Source organism: Homo sapiens, chromosome 3 (genome assembly GCF_000001405.40).
Source record: "Homo sapiens chromosome 3, GRCh38.p14 Primary Assembly".
Lineage (NCBI taxonomy): Eukaryota > Metazoa > Chordata > Mammalia > Primates > Hominidae > Homo > Homo sapiens.
In genome coordinates this window covers 86,875,190-86,892,368 of record NC_000003.12, presented here as the reverse complement: position 1 = coordinate 86,892,368, position 17,179 = coordinate 86,875,190, and the positions used below count along the sequence as shown (strand labels likewise).

Sequence of the window (17,179 nt, the reverse complement as noted above, 5' to 3'; positions counted from 1 at the left end):
ACCTGATTTGGTTTCCTGTGATAAATAGAACAGGATTGCTTCAATTATATCCTACAGTTTTCAAGTAGTGTTGTTTGTCCTCAATTTCAGAATGATAAAAATATTAAAGGATTCTCAATAAGTAAATAAATAAATAAATAAATAAATAAATAAATAAAGAGACTGGACTCTGCTCAAATGTCACCGCCTCAGAAAGGCCTTCCCTGACTAACCGACTTAAAATAGCACATCCTTCATTGATACCCTTACTCCGCTTTTTGTCTCTTCACTGTATTTATTACTATTGACATGACATTAAATGAGTAATGTCCACCTTCACTTTTGCATATCCCTTCCCTGAAAGTAGTTTCTCTATTTTGTTTACTGTATAGAATAGTGACTGGCACATAGTAGCCTTAATATATATTTGTTGAATAAGTAAAACTTGGCCTTCAGATATTTTGCCTGTAAATTACAAACTTTGCTTTTACAAATGAAAATACAGGTCATCCCAATAATTTTAAAGAGAACATTATTCTGACATTGTCTAAAAATAGAAACTTACAGTTTCCAGGAAATGATAAATATATTCATTTATCAATGTTTTTGTTTTGCGGGATGATTATAACAAATATTTACTTAATATTCATTTGAATAATGAAAAGCCACTTAAAAACTAACCTGCATTTAAATAATCATTCAACATTAAAATGTGGTTCTTTCCAGAGTTAATAATCAGCTAAACATTTTTCCTTGTCTTCCCTTGATTTATGTTTAATTTACATGACTGAATTGTATATGAAATACTAGCACCCATATTTTGTGTGATAATCTGTATAAGTCATGATCATGAGGGTGTTAAGACATTTATTTTAGCACATGTGAGTTTATAACACCATTGAAAGGTTATGTTGATACAACTAATTGTACTATTTGACAAAGAGTGGAAAAAAATCCAGAAGACCTTTAAGTAAAAGAGAAATTAACTTTAAAGTGGCACAATATATAGTGGTTCCTTATTTGGTTTAAATGAACACACTATTATCAATCTATTCATATAGTCTCAGTGTGGCACCATTTCCTTATTAAAGCTCTATGCAGAAGGAGTGGAGCTACTTTGTATGCTTATTCTTTGTTCTTCTACCACTTTCTCTTTCCCATGTTTACATTACAAGGGAGAAGTTAAGAAAATAAAAGAAGCCAACTGGGAAAGGCCACATAGCAGATTTGAGGCTTTGGGAGTAGGAGCAAGGAGCACAAATTCTCCAGGCATGCTGCTTGCATGCCTAACAATACATTTCACTTTAAAATTCAGTTAAATGACATGAGAAGCTGCATCATTATTTTCCTGAATTAATTTCTCTTTCCCATGCAACAGTAACTGTTCTTCTTATCAACCACTTTCATAATGGGGAGTAAACAACCATCTCAGCAACATATATTATTAAGATTCTTCTTTTTTCAGGCCAGCTGTCCCTGCAATTATATTTTACAAATACAATTCTACACAGCTCCTCTCAGTTGAACACAATAATGTAATTTTACTGAATGACTCTGCAGAAAGCCTAATTATTTCTTGAAGCAGGGCTCCTGATGTTATTTTGCATTTAATTCACGACCACATGCTGTAGGTTATTATCTGTGCAGCAACCAATTGAAATATTTTCTGAAAAGTATTTCACATACTTTTTAACCTGCGACTTTTAAAAACAATTGTACTTTGCTTCTCAAACACACTAGAAGAACTCAAATCTAATAAAGAATAAATTATCAACTTCATATACATTAATTAGATCTGTTTTTTATTCAAAAACATGTACTAATTCTATTATTGTTGAATAATAATGCATCTGTGTCATCCAGACAATTGTTTACATAATTTATAGCAATAAAAAATAAAAACTTGTAAATTAATAACATGTTATAGATATCTGTGTCAGTGACTGGGAAGGGTGTTATTCATTCATGGAATCTTTTCAAAAAACATTAATTAAATATTCTTTCTTCCTTCTGAGTCTTTGAGCCTGTATAGATTTCCTTGTGAAATCCATCATATGCCAGCTTAAACTGCTTTTTAACAGACATACATACATTTATGCATATTATTATCTGTCATTTAAAATTATATTGATACGAAAAAGATACCACAAAAAAGATAGTAGTCAACATATGGTCAGTGCTTAATATGTACCAGGAATATACTACCCTTTAGGTACATGATCACTCTAAATCTTCACAACAGTCCTAAGTAAAATCTCATTTTACAGATAAGAATTTCAAAACTTAGACTGAGTAGCTTACAAAAGGATGAACAGGTAGTAAATGGAGAACACAGAATTTTATTCGAGATCTAATATCACAGGTCTAGTTCATAACACTGTACATACTGACATATATTTGCTGAGACACTGCGTGTGTGTGTATGTGTGTGCATGTGTTTATTCTCCTTCAAGATGTGTAGATACTTTTGAAAGGAATGTAAGGATAACATTAAAATATTCCATATGGATTTTATAAAATGTATATTTTCTATATGACTTATTTACTTAGGGAAATTAACTGTAGTGCATTATTTTCCTATAGATGGCAATACAGACAATTCACTCTGATATAGTACTTAGTTACTTTTTGAGGAAAAAATTTTCTGCTCAAGATTGAAGATGAAAATTATATTTAGAGTCAGAATAAAAGAGAAGTAAAATTATGAATAAAAGTGTAATAGTAAACTTGAAATATGAACATATTTCATAGAAAAAAAATCAAAGTATCCTATACTTTTCAAATAGTTCTGGAACCCCAGCAAACCATCTCTAAAATCTAGGCTCATTCTCTTGTTACAGAGGTACATTTGTTGGAATGGCATTATAATACACCTACAAACCTCACAAATTCTACTACAGAGGCTTGTCTGTAAGAATAATTAGCTATTAGTCAACCTTGTGTGCAAAAATATATTATTTATTTATATTACACACTGAATTTGTCCATGTGATGATTTGAAGTGTAATTCCAAATCAAGAAGATGGAAAAATACCCATGTTAATGAAGTTCACAGAGAAAATACTCTGTTACATAGAAATAAGTTATAAGTCATTTTCTTAGTATGCAAATGATGAAAGTCAAATATTGTTGTAAGTTTGTTACATTGCATATGGAGATCTCATGAACACTTTTTAACTTACCCATAAGAACCTTAGGAAATATTATTGCTGTGCTGAAATATTAACTGCATTAAATCATATATGTCAATGAAACATATGATAGCAGTGTAAAATAAATCATGAGATCAATTCTGCAAAAAAAGAAAAGTCAAAAGCGAGGATATGTGATTTCAGTAAGTACCCTCAGACTGCAATGCTGTTAACATGATTAATATAGTTATTTACATGCTTCATCCAGGTGGATAAAATGATTACAATTGATGAGGTCATAAAACATGAATATATAAGATGCATTTTCTTATGGGAAGACTTACATTGTTAAAGATGCGAGTGTAGGAAGAGACATCCTGTGAATAATATGGAAACTTCTTTTTAGGTTTTATAAATTTTAATATTTTTTTAAGTATTAGGAAGAGATAAATTGGATTCAGCAACATAACTTTTAATACCTAGTAACTTAATATATAATTTAGAATTAGATCACAGAGTGATTCTAAATGTAAGAGGCTAATACTTTGTCAACATTATACTTACAGGAAAATCTTAGAATGGTCTTTTGGGTTGAAATCGTAGAATGGCCTTATGGGTTGTTTGTATGGCTTTACAGTGAATCAATTATTCAGATTACATTTTGGCAAATACAATTAATTGTATAGTGACAGGACATTACTTTAACTGAAAATATTACATTTCTACCAATGAGATGCTGTTGTCAAAGATACTGTACCTGGCCAAACTTCAGTCAAGTTCCCCTAAGCCCTCCACTCAAGTAGCTCAAACTTGGGCTTTGGTCTTAGTTCTTGTAGAGTCTAATCAACCTTAATATCTGGACAATTTCCTCCTTTCTACCATCCCCTTCATGATGTCTGATTACCTTTAGCAAGAATCTTGGCAGGTAAGTTTAGCAGAGAATTACCTTACTCTCTTAGTAATTTTCCATCCACCAATCTTTTCACCCTACTTCTTAGCTGTAAATCCCTATGTGGTATTCAGAATTGAGCCTAATTTGTTTCCCCTACTGTAAAACCCCACTGTAGTAATCCCTTGTATTCCCCTAGATTCTTCCTTACCATCTTTAACAAGTGTCATAAACATTTTTTTCCTTAATGCTATATACATCAGTTCTCAGTCATAAATCTGGCATGATATTTTTGTTACACATTAAAAACTGTAGCCAATCAAGTAACTGGCATAATATCATAAAAGAAAATGCTTGAGTGATGAATCACTAGGTTAAATTAAAGGCATGTATTGAACCTAACAACCTAAAACTTAGAATAAGAACTATTTAAGAGTTCATTAAAAATTCATCAAAAAAAGTGAATTTAGATTATGTCACAAAGAAAACCTCAATGTATTTCTCAAAGAAGAAATTTTAAAGTTCTCATTTTTTAAATCAACAAAATAGAAGTTAATAGCAAAAGTGAACAACTAGGACACACCTTAGGTGTGATTTAAGGTGTGTCCAAAAATATATCCAGAGGCACAAGCATAGTTTTAAACATTTTAATAATTAAAAATTATTTAAAACTTAAATTTAAAAATTATAGATTAACATTTGGGTATATGCTCAGTAATGGGATTGCTGGGTCAAATTGTATTTCTAGTTCTAGATCCCTGAGGAATCACCACACTGTCTTCCACAATAGTTGAAATAATTTACACTCCCACCAACAGTGTAAAAGCATTCCTATTTCTCCACATCCTCTCCAGCATCTGTTGTTTCCTAACTTTTTAATGATCGCCATTCTGATTGGCATGAGATGGTATCTCATCGTGGTTTTGATTTGCATTTCTCTAAAGAACAGTGATGATGAGATTTTTTCATGTTTGTGGGCTGCATAAATGTCTTCTTTTGAGAAGTGTCTGTTCATATCCTTCGCCCACCTTTTGTTGGGGGGCTTTGGTTTCATTGTCTATAAAATGTCCCGACTATGTTTCACATATACCCTCATGAAAGTACCTATTGATTTCAAAAAATAAATAAATAAATACAAAAATTGAGACTGATAAATGCCAAAAAAATTATAGATTAACAAAGTAGAATGAAACTAAATTAAATAAAACTTTTCATCAATTGGCCAAAGAACAATGTAAACTTAAAAGAAATAGAAAAGTAATTTCAAAAAACTTTAAGCAAAACTTAATTATTAAAAAAGTTTAATTCATAAGTTTCAACAAAATTTGGGTGAAAAATAATGAAATATATAAAAATTCTCCCAATCTAATCTAAGTTTATATCCATCATAGAAATATTGATTTCTTTCTTTCTTTCTTTATTATTCTTTAATTTCTGGGATACATGTGCAGATTTGTTGCATAGGTATACATGTGTCATGGTGGTTTGCTGCACCCATTAACCCGTCATCTAGGTTTTAAGCCCACCATGCATTAGGTATTTGTCCTAATGCTCTACCTCCCCTTGCCCCCCACCCTCCGACAGGCCCCAGTGTGTGATGTTCCCCTCCCTGTGTCCATGTGTTATTGTTCATCTCCCACCTATGAGGGAGAATATGTGGGTTTGGTTTTCTGTTTCTGTGTTATTTTGCTGAGAATGATGGTTTCCAGCTTCATCCATGTCCCTGCAAAGGACATAAATTCATTCTTTTCTATGGCTGTATAGTATTCCATGGAGTATATGTGCCACAAGAAATATTGATTTCTAAGATATATTTTGATCTTTCAAATATCTCCGGCTTTACTCACAATCAGCAACCAGCACCAACAGCCATGTGAGTGACACCATTATGGAAGTAATTTTTTTAGCCAGGTTACTTTAGCTAATGCACGTTCATGTACAAAATAAACTATATCCAACAGGTCCTTCCTAAACTGTAGCAGTGTAAACAAATTAACGTCTGTTGTTTCTTAAACGAACTGAATGTTGAGAATGAACTGCTATATAGCAATAGATCATAATTAAGAGAGTTATTCTTTTGGAAGCTCTTTGTAATTTATTATTTTTTTGATTTTTTTTCAATTGATTTTCAATTTTGGCTCTTAATTCAATAATTATTGAAATATTATATATAATGAGTGAAAACAAATATTCCAACAATTGGAAAATACTTCAATATATTTTGTTCATATTTATTTATTAACTTTAAAATAATAAGTTTAAAGATATTCAACAATACAGGAAAGAGGCTTATGACTTCGTGTTAAAAATCTTCATTTTACTTTCTTGCACACTTGATAAACTAGCCAATACTATCTAAATTCAAAATTTATCCTACATTTATTTTGCACTTAATCAGCTAAACCTTAGTGGAGAAAACAAGCCCCTTGATTGTTCTCACTTTAAATTCATGATTATTAGCCTTGATCTTTCTGAACCTATCCTATCCTATCTCTAGTGGATTCACATCTAAGGGATTATTTCAGGCTGTCACTAATCATGACCAGCTACCTATCCTTGCCTGCCCTCACATGCTCTGCACCCTTGCATATCATTACAGTTCAACTCCTCATGTACTGATGACAGGATGCCCCATTCTCCTTTCTTCTCATCGGCATCACAGTTCTCTCCCTTTTCTTACATCATCAAGTTTTTATTCCCCTTTGGATCATTTCAATTAGCATTTAGGCCAGATATTATTTTTCTCATTTTAAAAGAAAAAAATCATTATTTTGGCTCAATTTCTTACCTCCTTCTGACACACCATTTGCTTTTATTTCTTTAGTTTCCTCATTCAAAACTCCAGGAAAGACTTGCTTGTACACTCTCCAGTTCTTATCCCCTTTTTTCTTAATTCCACTCCAGTTGGTTTTTCTTTTCCAATACTCCATAGAAGCTGCTTTTATCAAGATTACAATGTCCTCCCCATTGTATTTATTTATTTATATTTATTAGTTTTTTTTTATTTCCATAGATTATTGGAGAACAGGTTGTGTTTTGCTATATGAGTAAGTTCTTTAGTGGTGATTTTGAGATTTTGGTGCATCATGCATTCAGTGAACAGAGAACACTTCTACACTGCTGGTGGGAATGTAAACTAGTACAATCACTATGGAAAACAGTTTGGAGATTCCTTAAATAACTAAAAGTGGAACTACCACTTGATCCAGCAATCCCCCTACTGGGTATCTACCCAGAGGAAAAGAAGTCATTATACGAAAAAGATACTTGCACACGCATGTGTATAGCAGCACAATTCACAATTGCAAAAATGTGGAACCAAACCAAATGCCCATCCATCTACAAGTGGATAGAGAAACTGTCCTCCTCATTTTAAATCCAACAGTCTGTTCCCACTCGTCGCCTCACTTGGTCTATCAGCACTATTTAACGAAGCTGAAACTATCTCTTCTAGTCGTACAATTTAGAAAAAAATTTTTTACTTGGTTTTCCAAACTCACTCTCTTTTTCTCCTCTCTCACTAGTTGCTTCTTCTCTGTCAGATTTGCTGGCCCTTCCTTTTCTTTTCATGCTTTTATTATTGAAGTGCTTCAGGGCTCATCCCTGGTGTCTTCTGTTTTCCAGCCACACTGATGTCTTTCTGCTTTATGTGGCCGCATGGTCTTAAATACCTTTGACTCCCAAATGTAGTAAAGCTGGACAAGACTTCTGTTCTGAACTGCACAACTCAATATCTGGCTCCCTGCTTAACATATTTCCATTTGAGGGTTTCATACACATCTCAAACTTAGCATGTCCAAATCTGGATTCCTGATCTCTCCATCAATAGACATTTTTTTAAAATCTCTGAATACAGAGTTTATGGTTTCTGCCTTCCGTTGCTCTGAAACAGAATTGTTATCCATGCACATTGACTATAGTAACTAAACAAAAGAATAAATGAATACATGCAGCAAACTTTGAGAGCACATACTCATGTATACAAATATGAAACTGAAATGCAATATATCAATATCTGATACTAATCTTCAGCGGTGGAGGGAGAATATGTGGGAATTTTCCATGATGGTTATGTATTAGTGTTATAGCTAGAGAAAATAATTAAGTGCTAAGTACAATTTTTTAGATTTTAAGACACACAAAGAATAAGATTGTATAAATAAGAGAAAATACTGCCACTCACAGAATTAAATAATTACAATTTATGATTATATTTATTGGGTCATCAGGTAACATTTCCTTCTGCTTCATCAAAAAAGTCATTTCAAGGAAAAGTCATAATATTAAATGAATTTGAGATGGCTTTTTCTCATATTTATGACAAATACAGGAAATGATTTTATCTTGTTGATTTCTACATTTATAATCTAGGAAAGTAACTGGCATGTGGTAATAACTATTTTTCATAACTTCAAATGCTATTTCTATCTTATTAGATATAATTATTTAGAAGTAATTGATGCTAAACATTCTAAATTCTTATATACCCTGGGGGCCTCTCCTATCAATACTTAATAACACATTTCAAATTATCAAATTGTGTTTCTGTTAAAACAATATAATCTAGATATTTGACCTATTGAAATCTTTACGCAAAATGATGTGGGCAAAATGAAATACTTTTCAAGTTGAAAATATGAGCATTTTAGCCACGGACCAGACAAGGGAGTTATTAGCTTTCATTTTCTTCTGAGTTACATCTACTTTGTGTCTGTGATCATGGAATTGCCCAATGGATACTTGAAACTAATGTGCTAAGGGACTCTAAAATTATAGGCTAGGCTGCATTAAAAACAACTCTTAGTGCTTTAAAAATTGCATGTCATCCACATTCCTCATGAAAATGAACATTGAAATGTTCTTATAAAAATACATCTGGTAACATGCACTCACGTATGCCTAAATTAGGTTTAAAGTCACTTGAATTTTCCCTGTTTTTAACAAAAGTTTTGGGGCTTCATGCTTTTGGTTTATTGGTGTACAATTTGCATTACATGCCTACAAAACTAAATTTTTATTTATTTGTTTATTTTTTTAATTTTAAAAGTTTCTTTTGGAGAATAGTGGTTATGAGTTTGAACTCTGATTTTGGACTGACTGTGAGACATTAGTTATTAAAACCTCCTGTGACTCAATTTCTTCTTTGTAAAATGGACATTAAAATAGCACCTAACTCATTGTTGCTATATTTTGAGGATTAAATGAAATAATGCATGTAAAGTTGTAGAACATTTTCTGATGCATGTTTCTAACAACTATGACATAGCAATGAATTTATACCTATATAAGGATTTGCTATGTCTGCATATGCATACATATTAGTTTACTTGGGCTGCCATAAAAAAGTACCAAGACTGAGTGTCTTAAACAACAAAAATTTATTTTTTCACAGTTCTACAGGCTGAGAAGTCCAAGATCAAGGTGTCAGGGGGATTGGTTGCTTCTGAGGTCTCTCTCCTTGGCTTGTAGTTGGTTGCCCTCCACTATGTGCTCACATGGTCATTCCTCTGTGCACATGCATCCCTGGTGTTTCTTGCATGTGTCCAGATTTCCTCTTTCTACAGACACAAATCATATTGGATTTGGACTCAACCTGTCTCATCTTAACTTAGTCACTTTTTGTATGGCCCTATCTTCAAATTCAGTCATATTCTGAGGGATTGGGGTTTAAGACTTCAACATATACACTTTTGGAGAATGCTTTGGGAGGCTGAGATGGGAGGATTGCTTAAGCCCAAGATTTCAGGACCAGCCTGTTTAACACAGTGAGTTCCTGTCTACTATGGTTTGGATCTGTGTCCCGATCCAAATCTTATGTAAAACTGTAATTCCCGATGTTGGAAGTGGGGCTTGGTGAGAGGTGATTGGGTCATGGGAGCAGTTTCTTATGGTTTAACACCCATCCCCTTGGTGCTGTCATCAATAGTGAGTTCTCATGAGATCTGATTGTTTAAAAGTGCGCAGTGCCTGCCCCTCTCTTTTCCTCCTGCTTTGGCCATGTGAGATGACTCATTCTCCCTTTGCTTTCTGCCATGATTGGAAGCTGCTTGAGGCCTCCCCAAAAGCAGAAGCTGCTATGTTTCCTGTATAGCCTGCAGAACCATGAGCCAATTAAAACTTTTTTATCTATAAATTACACAGCCTCAGGTATTTCTTTATAGAAATACAAGATTGGACTAATACACCATCTCTACAAAAAAATAAAAAAAAACAATAGCCAAGCGTGGTGGTGCATGCCTGTAGTCCCAGCTATTCAGGAGGCTGAGGACTTAAGTCCAGGAAATTGTGGCTGCAGTGAGCTGTAATCACGCCACTGCGCTCCAGCCTGGGTAACAGAGCGAGACCCTGTGTCCAAAAACAAAACAAACAAACAAAAAGATTGTCAAACATTTCTGAAAAATGAGAATTGCTCATACAATTTTGTTGAAGCTCTAGTGTAATAAAGTGAGGGGTAGACTTGGGTTTCATTGCCCTGTCTCTACCATTGGTTTTTCCTCCCATTTGTGCACATTCTTAAAGTAGACTAACATATAAATAGAATTAATACTATGGATTTTTTTAAGTGTTTAAGTGTTGTTTTTTTAAGTGTTTGTTTAGGGTATAAAAGTAGGACTAATAAATTATTCTACTTTTTAAGTGGACTGTAAATGCAACATTGATTTTCAAAACAACACTGATTTCAACAAATAAGTATGTCATCTCAATGGACTCATTTGGTAGGAACTGGTTTATATGCCAATATGTGGTGTGATCTAAATAAATGCTCTCCTAAAAATATAAATTTTGTTTACTTGCTATTAAGCCTTTTCCCTCTCCTGTGATAACACCCACAAAGCTACGGTGAAAGATATCTTATAATTCAACATAATAACAATTATTTTTAAGGGAAGATAACAAAAATTTCTTTTATTCCCACACTGTTATTATATTTCCCTTTTGGTTAATATTCCCTCTTCAGATATCCTTTTTACAATGAAAACACAGTAGCCTCTCTGCTGTATCTCTTTGCCAACAAGCTACTACAAGATTCCAAAACCTGTGGCAATTTGACATTTTGTTAATACATGACTCTGTATTATGCAACCAGAAAAAAAAAATACTTAAAACAATGAGAGAGAGAGAGAGCACGCGCCCAGGTAACCACTCAAGATAAATATCTGAGCAATATTCTCACTTAAATTTCATTATTTATGTCTTGCTCTGGGTGGTATTTTGGAGTTTAGAAAATCATAAGGATATTTTATATCTGGGTTACACTGTACTCCAAGGACATATACATTTAAGTTTACAATTGTATCAGATTAGTTTCTTCTAGGATCTTGGAGATGGGGCAGCAAAAGAGTTATGGCTTATCTAGGAGGGATGGGATTTACAGATCACAAAAGCCACAAGTAGAGAAATATTGGAGGCACAGGTGGAACATCTCCTTTTACACTGAATAATGCTTGCTCCCTTCCCAGAATTAATCAATTACAAAATATAAAGAAAAAACTTTTTTTTCCTGTTTGAGTTTTGAATTGTTTATATTTCAATACAAAGATACAGCAGCTCAACTCCTTTTTTTTAACAGCTTAAACTTTTCCTCATAGTTGTCTGGGAAGCAGAATTAAAGTTGTGTGGTCCGTGAGAGATAAGGGGACTTGGATAGGGGATGAGATTGTGGTAGGAAGATCGTAATAAGACTACATATCAAGAGACTGCACCTGTTGTCCTTAAGCATGTAACCTGAATGAGTGGCCCTAGCTTCCATGGAAACACCTGAACCTCAGGTAAGTGTCGACATACTGCTTGGTCTACATGATACACTGTCACATGGAAAGCATGGCTCTGTCCAGCCTAAGACAAGGGCAGTCTCATGGACTGGGTCCGCCCATCAAACAGTGAGAGGCTCAGAAGTATAGCAGAGTAGGAAAAACATGATGCCGCTGGTGATCTGAAAAAGGGGAATCTCTAAGGCAGTAAAGAGAGTAATCTTCCCTGAAATACCCAAACAAAGAACTTGAAAATAGCATGTCTTTACTTGGGAGGTTAGGAGTAAAAGCTTTTTGAGAGGTAGATTCTTAGCACCATCAGCCAGTCCACATCATCGACGGGTGACTCAACATATTTATCTTAGTTTTGGCTTCCATAGTAAACTACCATAAATGGTGCAGTTTAAACAACACATATGTATTTCTCACAGTCTAGAAGCTGGGAAGTTGAAGATCAAGGTGGCAGCAGATGCAGTGTCTGGTGAGGGCCCGCTTCTTGATTTGTAGCCAGCTCCCCGTTCCGTGTAGCCTCACCTGGTGGAGAGCAGGGAGAGGAAGCAAACTCTCTTGTGTCTCTTTTTATAAGAGCACTAATTTCACCATGAGGACTCCACCCTCATGACCTAATCACCCCCAAAAGCCCTATCTCCAAATACTATGGCATCGGGAATTAAGCTCCAACATATGAATTGGGGCAGAGTGGGAGGCTGGAAACAAACCTTCCGTCATTAGCAATGCTTTGTATCATACTACAATGTAAGTTAACTTCTGTCATTGCCCCTTCTCCCTTGCTTTCTTCTTCCACTATCCCAGAGCTACATTTTCCACTGCACCCTTGTAGTCTCTTCCTTATTTTTCTGCAACATAATACCATATGCAATTTTTTAGAACAATTTTCTTCACAAAAACTTTATTAATCATTCAACCTCAGAGATATTTCAAGGCCAGGCATGGTGGCTCACTCTTGTAATCCCAGCACTTTGGGAGGCCGAAGCAGGAGGATCACCTGTCAGGAGTTTGAGACCAGCCTGGCCAACCTGGTGAAACCCCTTCTCTACTAAAAATACAAAAGTTAGCCAGGCATTGTGGCGCACACCTGTAGTCCCAGCTATTCGGGAGAATCGCTTGAACTTGGGAAGCGAAACTCAGGCTAAATTAAAAAAAAAAAAACACAGGTATTTCAAACATTCAATTTCCAGTAGTACTTATATTTGTATAAAACAATCTATTAATTTATAATGTATTGTCTTAAAATTTAGAGGAACATTTATCTTGCCTTTCTAATTAGATTGTGCAGGTGTCTTTTTTTTTTTTTTCCTCTAGTATTCCCTACAATGCCTACAATGTATGAAATGACTATCGGTTGACTTGATTTTACTAGCACAACACTCACACAGCCCTGGTTCCTATGTTAATAAGAAAAATGAGCTTAAATAGAAATATACATTTTAGCCCACCTCAATAGGCAGTGTTTAGCTATTAGGTGAGTTTCCATATTTTAGAGATGTATTGAGATATTCAAAATGCAGTCTAAATCAACATTTTAGATTTATATCAGATGAAGTGCACGCCAATCAAATTAATAATCGATAGCTGTGGTCCAGGTCTGAAACTGAATGCAAAGCAAATTTGAAAAATTTTCTAATCGGTATCCAATCTGTAAAATGACTGTCACTATTCCTCAACAAAGGAGCAAATAGATTATAATATCTTATAAAGATTTTATTATTACTTTTCTTCTTTTTAAACTGAGAGATGCATTGCTTAGATTCTGAGGGCTGGGGGAAAGTCACATTTGTTGGAACTGAACCATGTGTCACAGCTTCAATTTAAATTAGGAGGGAAATTGAAAGGGCCCCCATGTGAAAGCTATGTTCAACTTGTTAGTTAACAAATAAATCAATGCCAAGTCCACATTCTAAAGCATTTTATTTCTACAATGCTTGGTTATTAGTGGAATTCAGATTATTTAAACAACCACTGCAATGTTTTGCTCCTTGTTCCCCTGGATCTGTCTCCTTTTATTCCTTCCCTTTCTCCACACACAAATATCCACCATGCCTCAGTTTTTAAATGCTTCTTCTCCTTACTGTGAAATCTGTCTTGAAGAATATTGTCACAGCAGAGCAGGAGAAGGTCTTAATCCAAGCCCTGAGAGACACATTTGAAAGGGCCGTGCAAGAGAATTTGGTGACCGTTTAATGTTTTAATCCCCTTTACTTTTGTTAGAATAATTAACATAAAGAGAAAGGTAACTACCATGAGCAAACAAATCTTATTACAGTGAAATGCAGACAAATGCGCAGACACACATCCATCCTTTATAGCATGACCTTCCACTGACTTGTTCTCTAATAAAAAACGTGGCCAAAAATATCCATATTTTTTTTACCCATCTGATTTATGAAGGATACAGTGATTATTTTCTGTTGAAGAAATTCACTAGTCACATCAGGAATATAATGCTCAGAGAGAAAGAGAACAGAGTAGTGACTAAGACCATGGCCTCTGGAGTAAAAATACTGATTATAAATTCTGACCCTGACCCTTACTAACCATGCAACTTTGGACAAGTTACCTAATACTTTTTGCTTCAGTTTCATCATCTGTAACATGAAAACAATACTACCTGCCACATGAGGATGTGGTGAAAATTAATGTACATATGTCTACACACAGAAGACTTAGACTAATATCTGGTCCATAGGAAACACTATACTATATAAAGATTAGTTGTTCTTATTGGTGTGGGAAGGTAGCATTTTCCATTATGATCCCTTTTGTAGTATTTGAATTTATAACTTTGTGAAGGCATTATTTTATTCATTTACCAAAGAAAACATAAACACAAAACTATGTTTATTTAGGCTCAGTCACAAATGTTTAAAAAGTTTGAGATTGCTTATTGTTTATTAATTTAATGTATTTGAAGAGAAATGAATCCATGTATTTGAAGAAATAAACATATTTTTGTAGTTTTAAGTAGCTTTAGAATTTTGTATGTAAATATAATCATGAAAAAATATATCAAAATAAGGCAATGTTAATCATTAATATACTTTAGAACTATAAAAATATAGTCGAATGTCATTTCCAAGATTTAATATTAAATTTGAGATGGGTTAAAAATCAGATACCATAAAGTTAAATACTCTTCAAGACAAATAGAAAGTTATTTTTGGAGAAGTACAAATGAGTTTTTCGTTTTTGTTTTTCTATTTCAAGATTTTTTATTTTTATTTTTATTTTATTTTACTTTTATTATTATACTTTAAGTTCTAGGGTATATGTGCACAACATGCAGGTTTGAAACATAGGTATACATGTGCCATGTTGGTTTGCTGTACTACAAATGAGTTTTAATAACACTGATGTGCATTAACATTTTGCTGTAAAATATACAATTCTATATTGATTACAACAATAATGATTTTTAAAATTAAAATATAAAAACATTTCTCAATAACTTACCTTTTCTATCAACCATCATTGTTAAAATATTTAAAAGGCATTTCTGTTTTTATTACTAGGTCTTCTCCTTTAAGAAACAACATGAGGATTCCCAGGCAAGATGGCCAAATAGGAACAGCTCCTGTCTGCAGCTCCCAGGGAGAACAATGCAGAAGGCAGGTGATTTCTGCATTTCTAGCTCAGTGTAAACAAAGCCACCTGGAAGTTTGGATTGGGCGGAGCCTACCAGAGCTGGGCAAAGCCTCTGTAGCCAGACTGCCTCTCTAGATTCCTCCTCTCTGGGTAGGGAATCTCTGAAAGAAAGGCGGCAGCCCCAGTCAGGGGCTTATAGATAAAACTCCCATTTCTCAAAGACAGAGCACCTGGGGAAAGGGGCGGCTGTGGGCTCAGCTTCAGCAGACTTAAATGTTCCTGCCTGCTGGCTCTGAAGAGAGCAGTGGATCTCCCAGCACAATGCTCGGCTCAAGCTCTGCTAAGGGACATTCTGCCTTCTCAGGTGGGTCCCTGACCCCATGTCTCCTGACAGGGAGACACCTCCCAGCAGAGGTTGACAGACACCTCATACAGGAGAGCTCCGGCTGGCATCTGGCAGGTGCCCCTCTGGGACAAAGTTTCCAGAGGAAGGAGCAGGCAGCAATCTTTGCTGTTCTACAGCCTCTGCTGGTGATACCCAGGCAAAGAGGATCTGGAGTGGATGCCTTAGCAAACTCTAGCAAACCTGCAGAAGAGGGGCCTGACTGTTAGAAGGAAAACTAACCAATAGAAAGCAATAGCATCAAAATCAACAAAAAGGATGACCCCACAAAAACTCCATACTAAGGTCACCAACATCAAAGACCAAAGGTAGATACATCCACAAAATTGAGAAAAAAACAGTGAAAAAAGACCGAAAATTCCAAAAAACAGAAAGCCTCTTCTGCTCCAAAGGATCACAATTCCTTGCCACCAAGGGAAAAAACTGATGGAGAATGCGTTTGACGAATTGACAGTAGTAGGCTTCAGAAGGTAGGTAATAACAAACTTTTCTGAGCTAAAGGAGCATGTTCTAACCCAATGCAAGGAAGCTAAGAACCTTGATAAAAGGTTAGAGGAATTGCTAACTAGCATAACCAATGTAGAGAAGAACATAAATGATCTGATGGAGCTGAAAAACACAGCATAAGACCTTCGTGAGGGATACACAAGTATCAATAGCCAAATTGATCAAGCAGAAGAAAGGGTATCAGAGATTGAAGATCAACTTAATGAAATAAAGTGTGAAGACAAGATTAGGTAAAAAAGAATAAAAAGGAATGAACAAAGCCTCCAAGAAATAAGGGACTATGTGAAAAGACCAAACCTATGTTTGATTGGTGTACCTGAAAGTGATGGGGAGAATGGAACCAAGTTTGGAAACACACTTTAGGATATTATCCAGAAGAACTTCCCCAACCTAGCAAAACAGGCCAACATTCAAATTCAGGAAATACAGAGAAAACCACAAAGATACTCCTTGAGAAGAGAAACTCCAAGACACATAGTCATCAGGTTCACCAAGGTTGAAATGACGGAAAAAATATTAAGGGCAGCCAGAGAGAAAAGTCGGGTTACCCACAAAGGGAAGCCCATTAGACCAACAGCAGATCTCTCTGCAGACACCCTACAAGTAAGAAGAGAGTGGGGGCCGATATTCAACATTCTTAAGGAAAATAATTTTCAACCCAGAATTTCATATTCGCCAAACTAAGCATCATAAGTGAAGGAGAAATAAAATCCTTTACAGACAATGCTGAGGAATTTTGTCACCACCAGGCCTGCCTTACAAGAGCTCCTGAAGGAAACACTAAATATGGAAAGGAAAAACTGGTACCAGCCACTGCAAAAACAAACCAAAATGTAAAGACCATCAATGCCATGAAGAAACTGCATCAACTAATGGGCAAAATAACCAGTTAGCATCATAATGACAGGATCAAATT

General features: G+C 34.8%; 2 annotated features.

Moving 5' to 3' along the window:
- Positions 736–1,486: an enhancer, noted in NCBI's record as "OCT4-NANOG hESC enhancer chr3:86940033-86940783 (GRCh37/hg19 assembly coordinates)". NCBI's record gives its function as "activates a minimal SCP1, AML or CMV promoter by ChIP-STARR-seq in naive and primed H9 embryonic stem cells {active_cell/tissue: H9 hESC(naive and primed)}" and the evidence as "EXISTENCE:reporter gene assay evidence [ECO:0000049][PMID:30033119]".
- Positions 15,745–16,245: an enhancer, noted in NCBI's record as "H3K27ac hESC enhancer chr3:86925274-86925774 (GRCh37/hg19 assembly coordinates)". NCBI's record gives its function as "activates a minimal SCP1, AML or CMV promoter by ChIP-STARR-seq in naive H9 embryonic stem cells {active_cell/tissue: H9 hESC(naive)}" and the evidence as "EXISTENCE:reporter gene assay evidence [ECO:0000049][PMID:30033119]".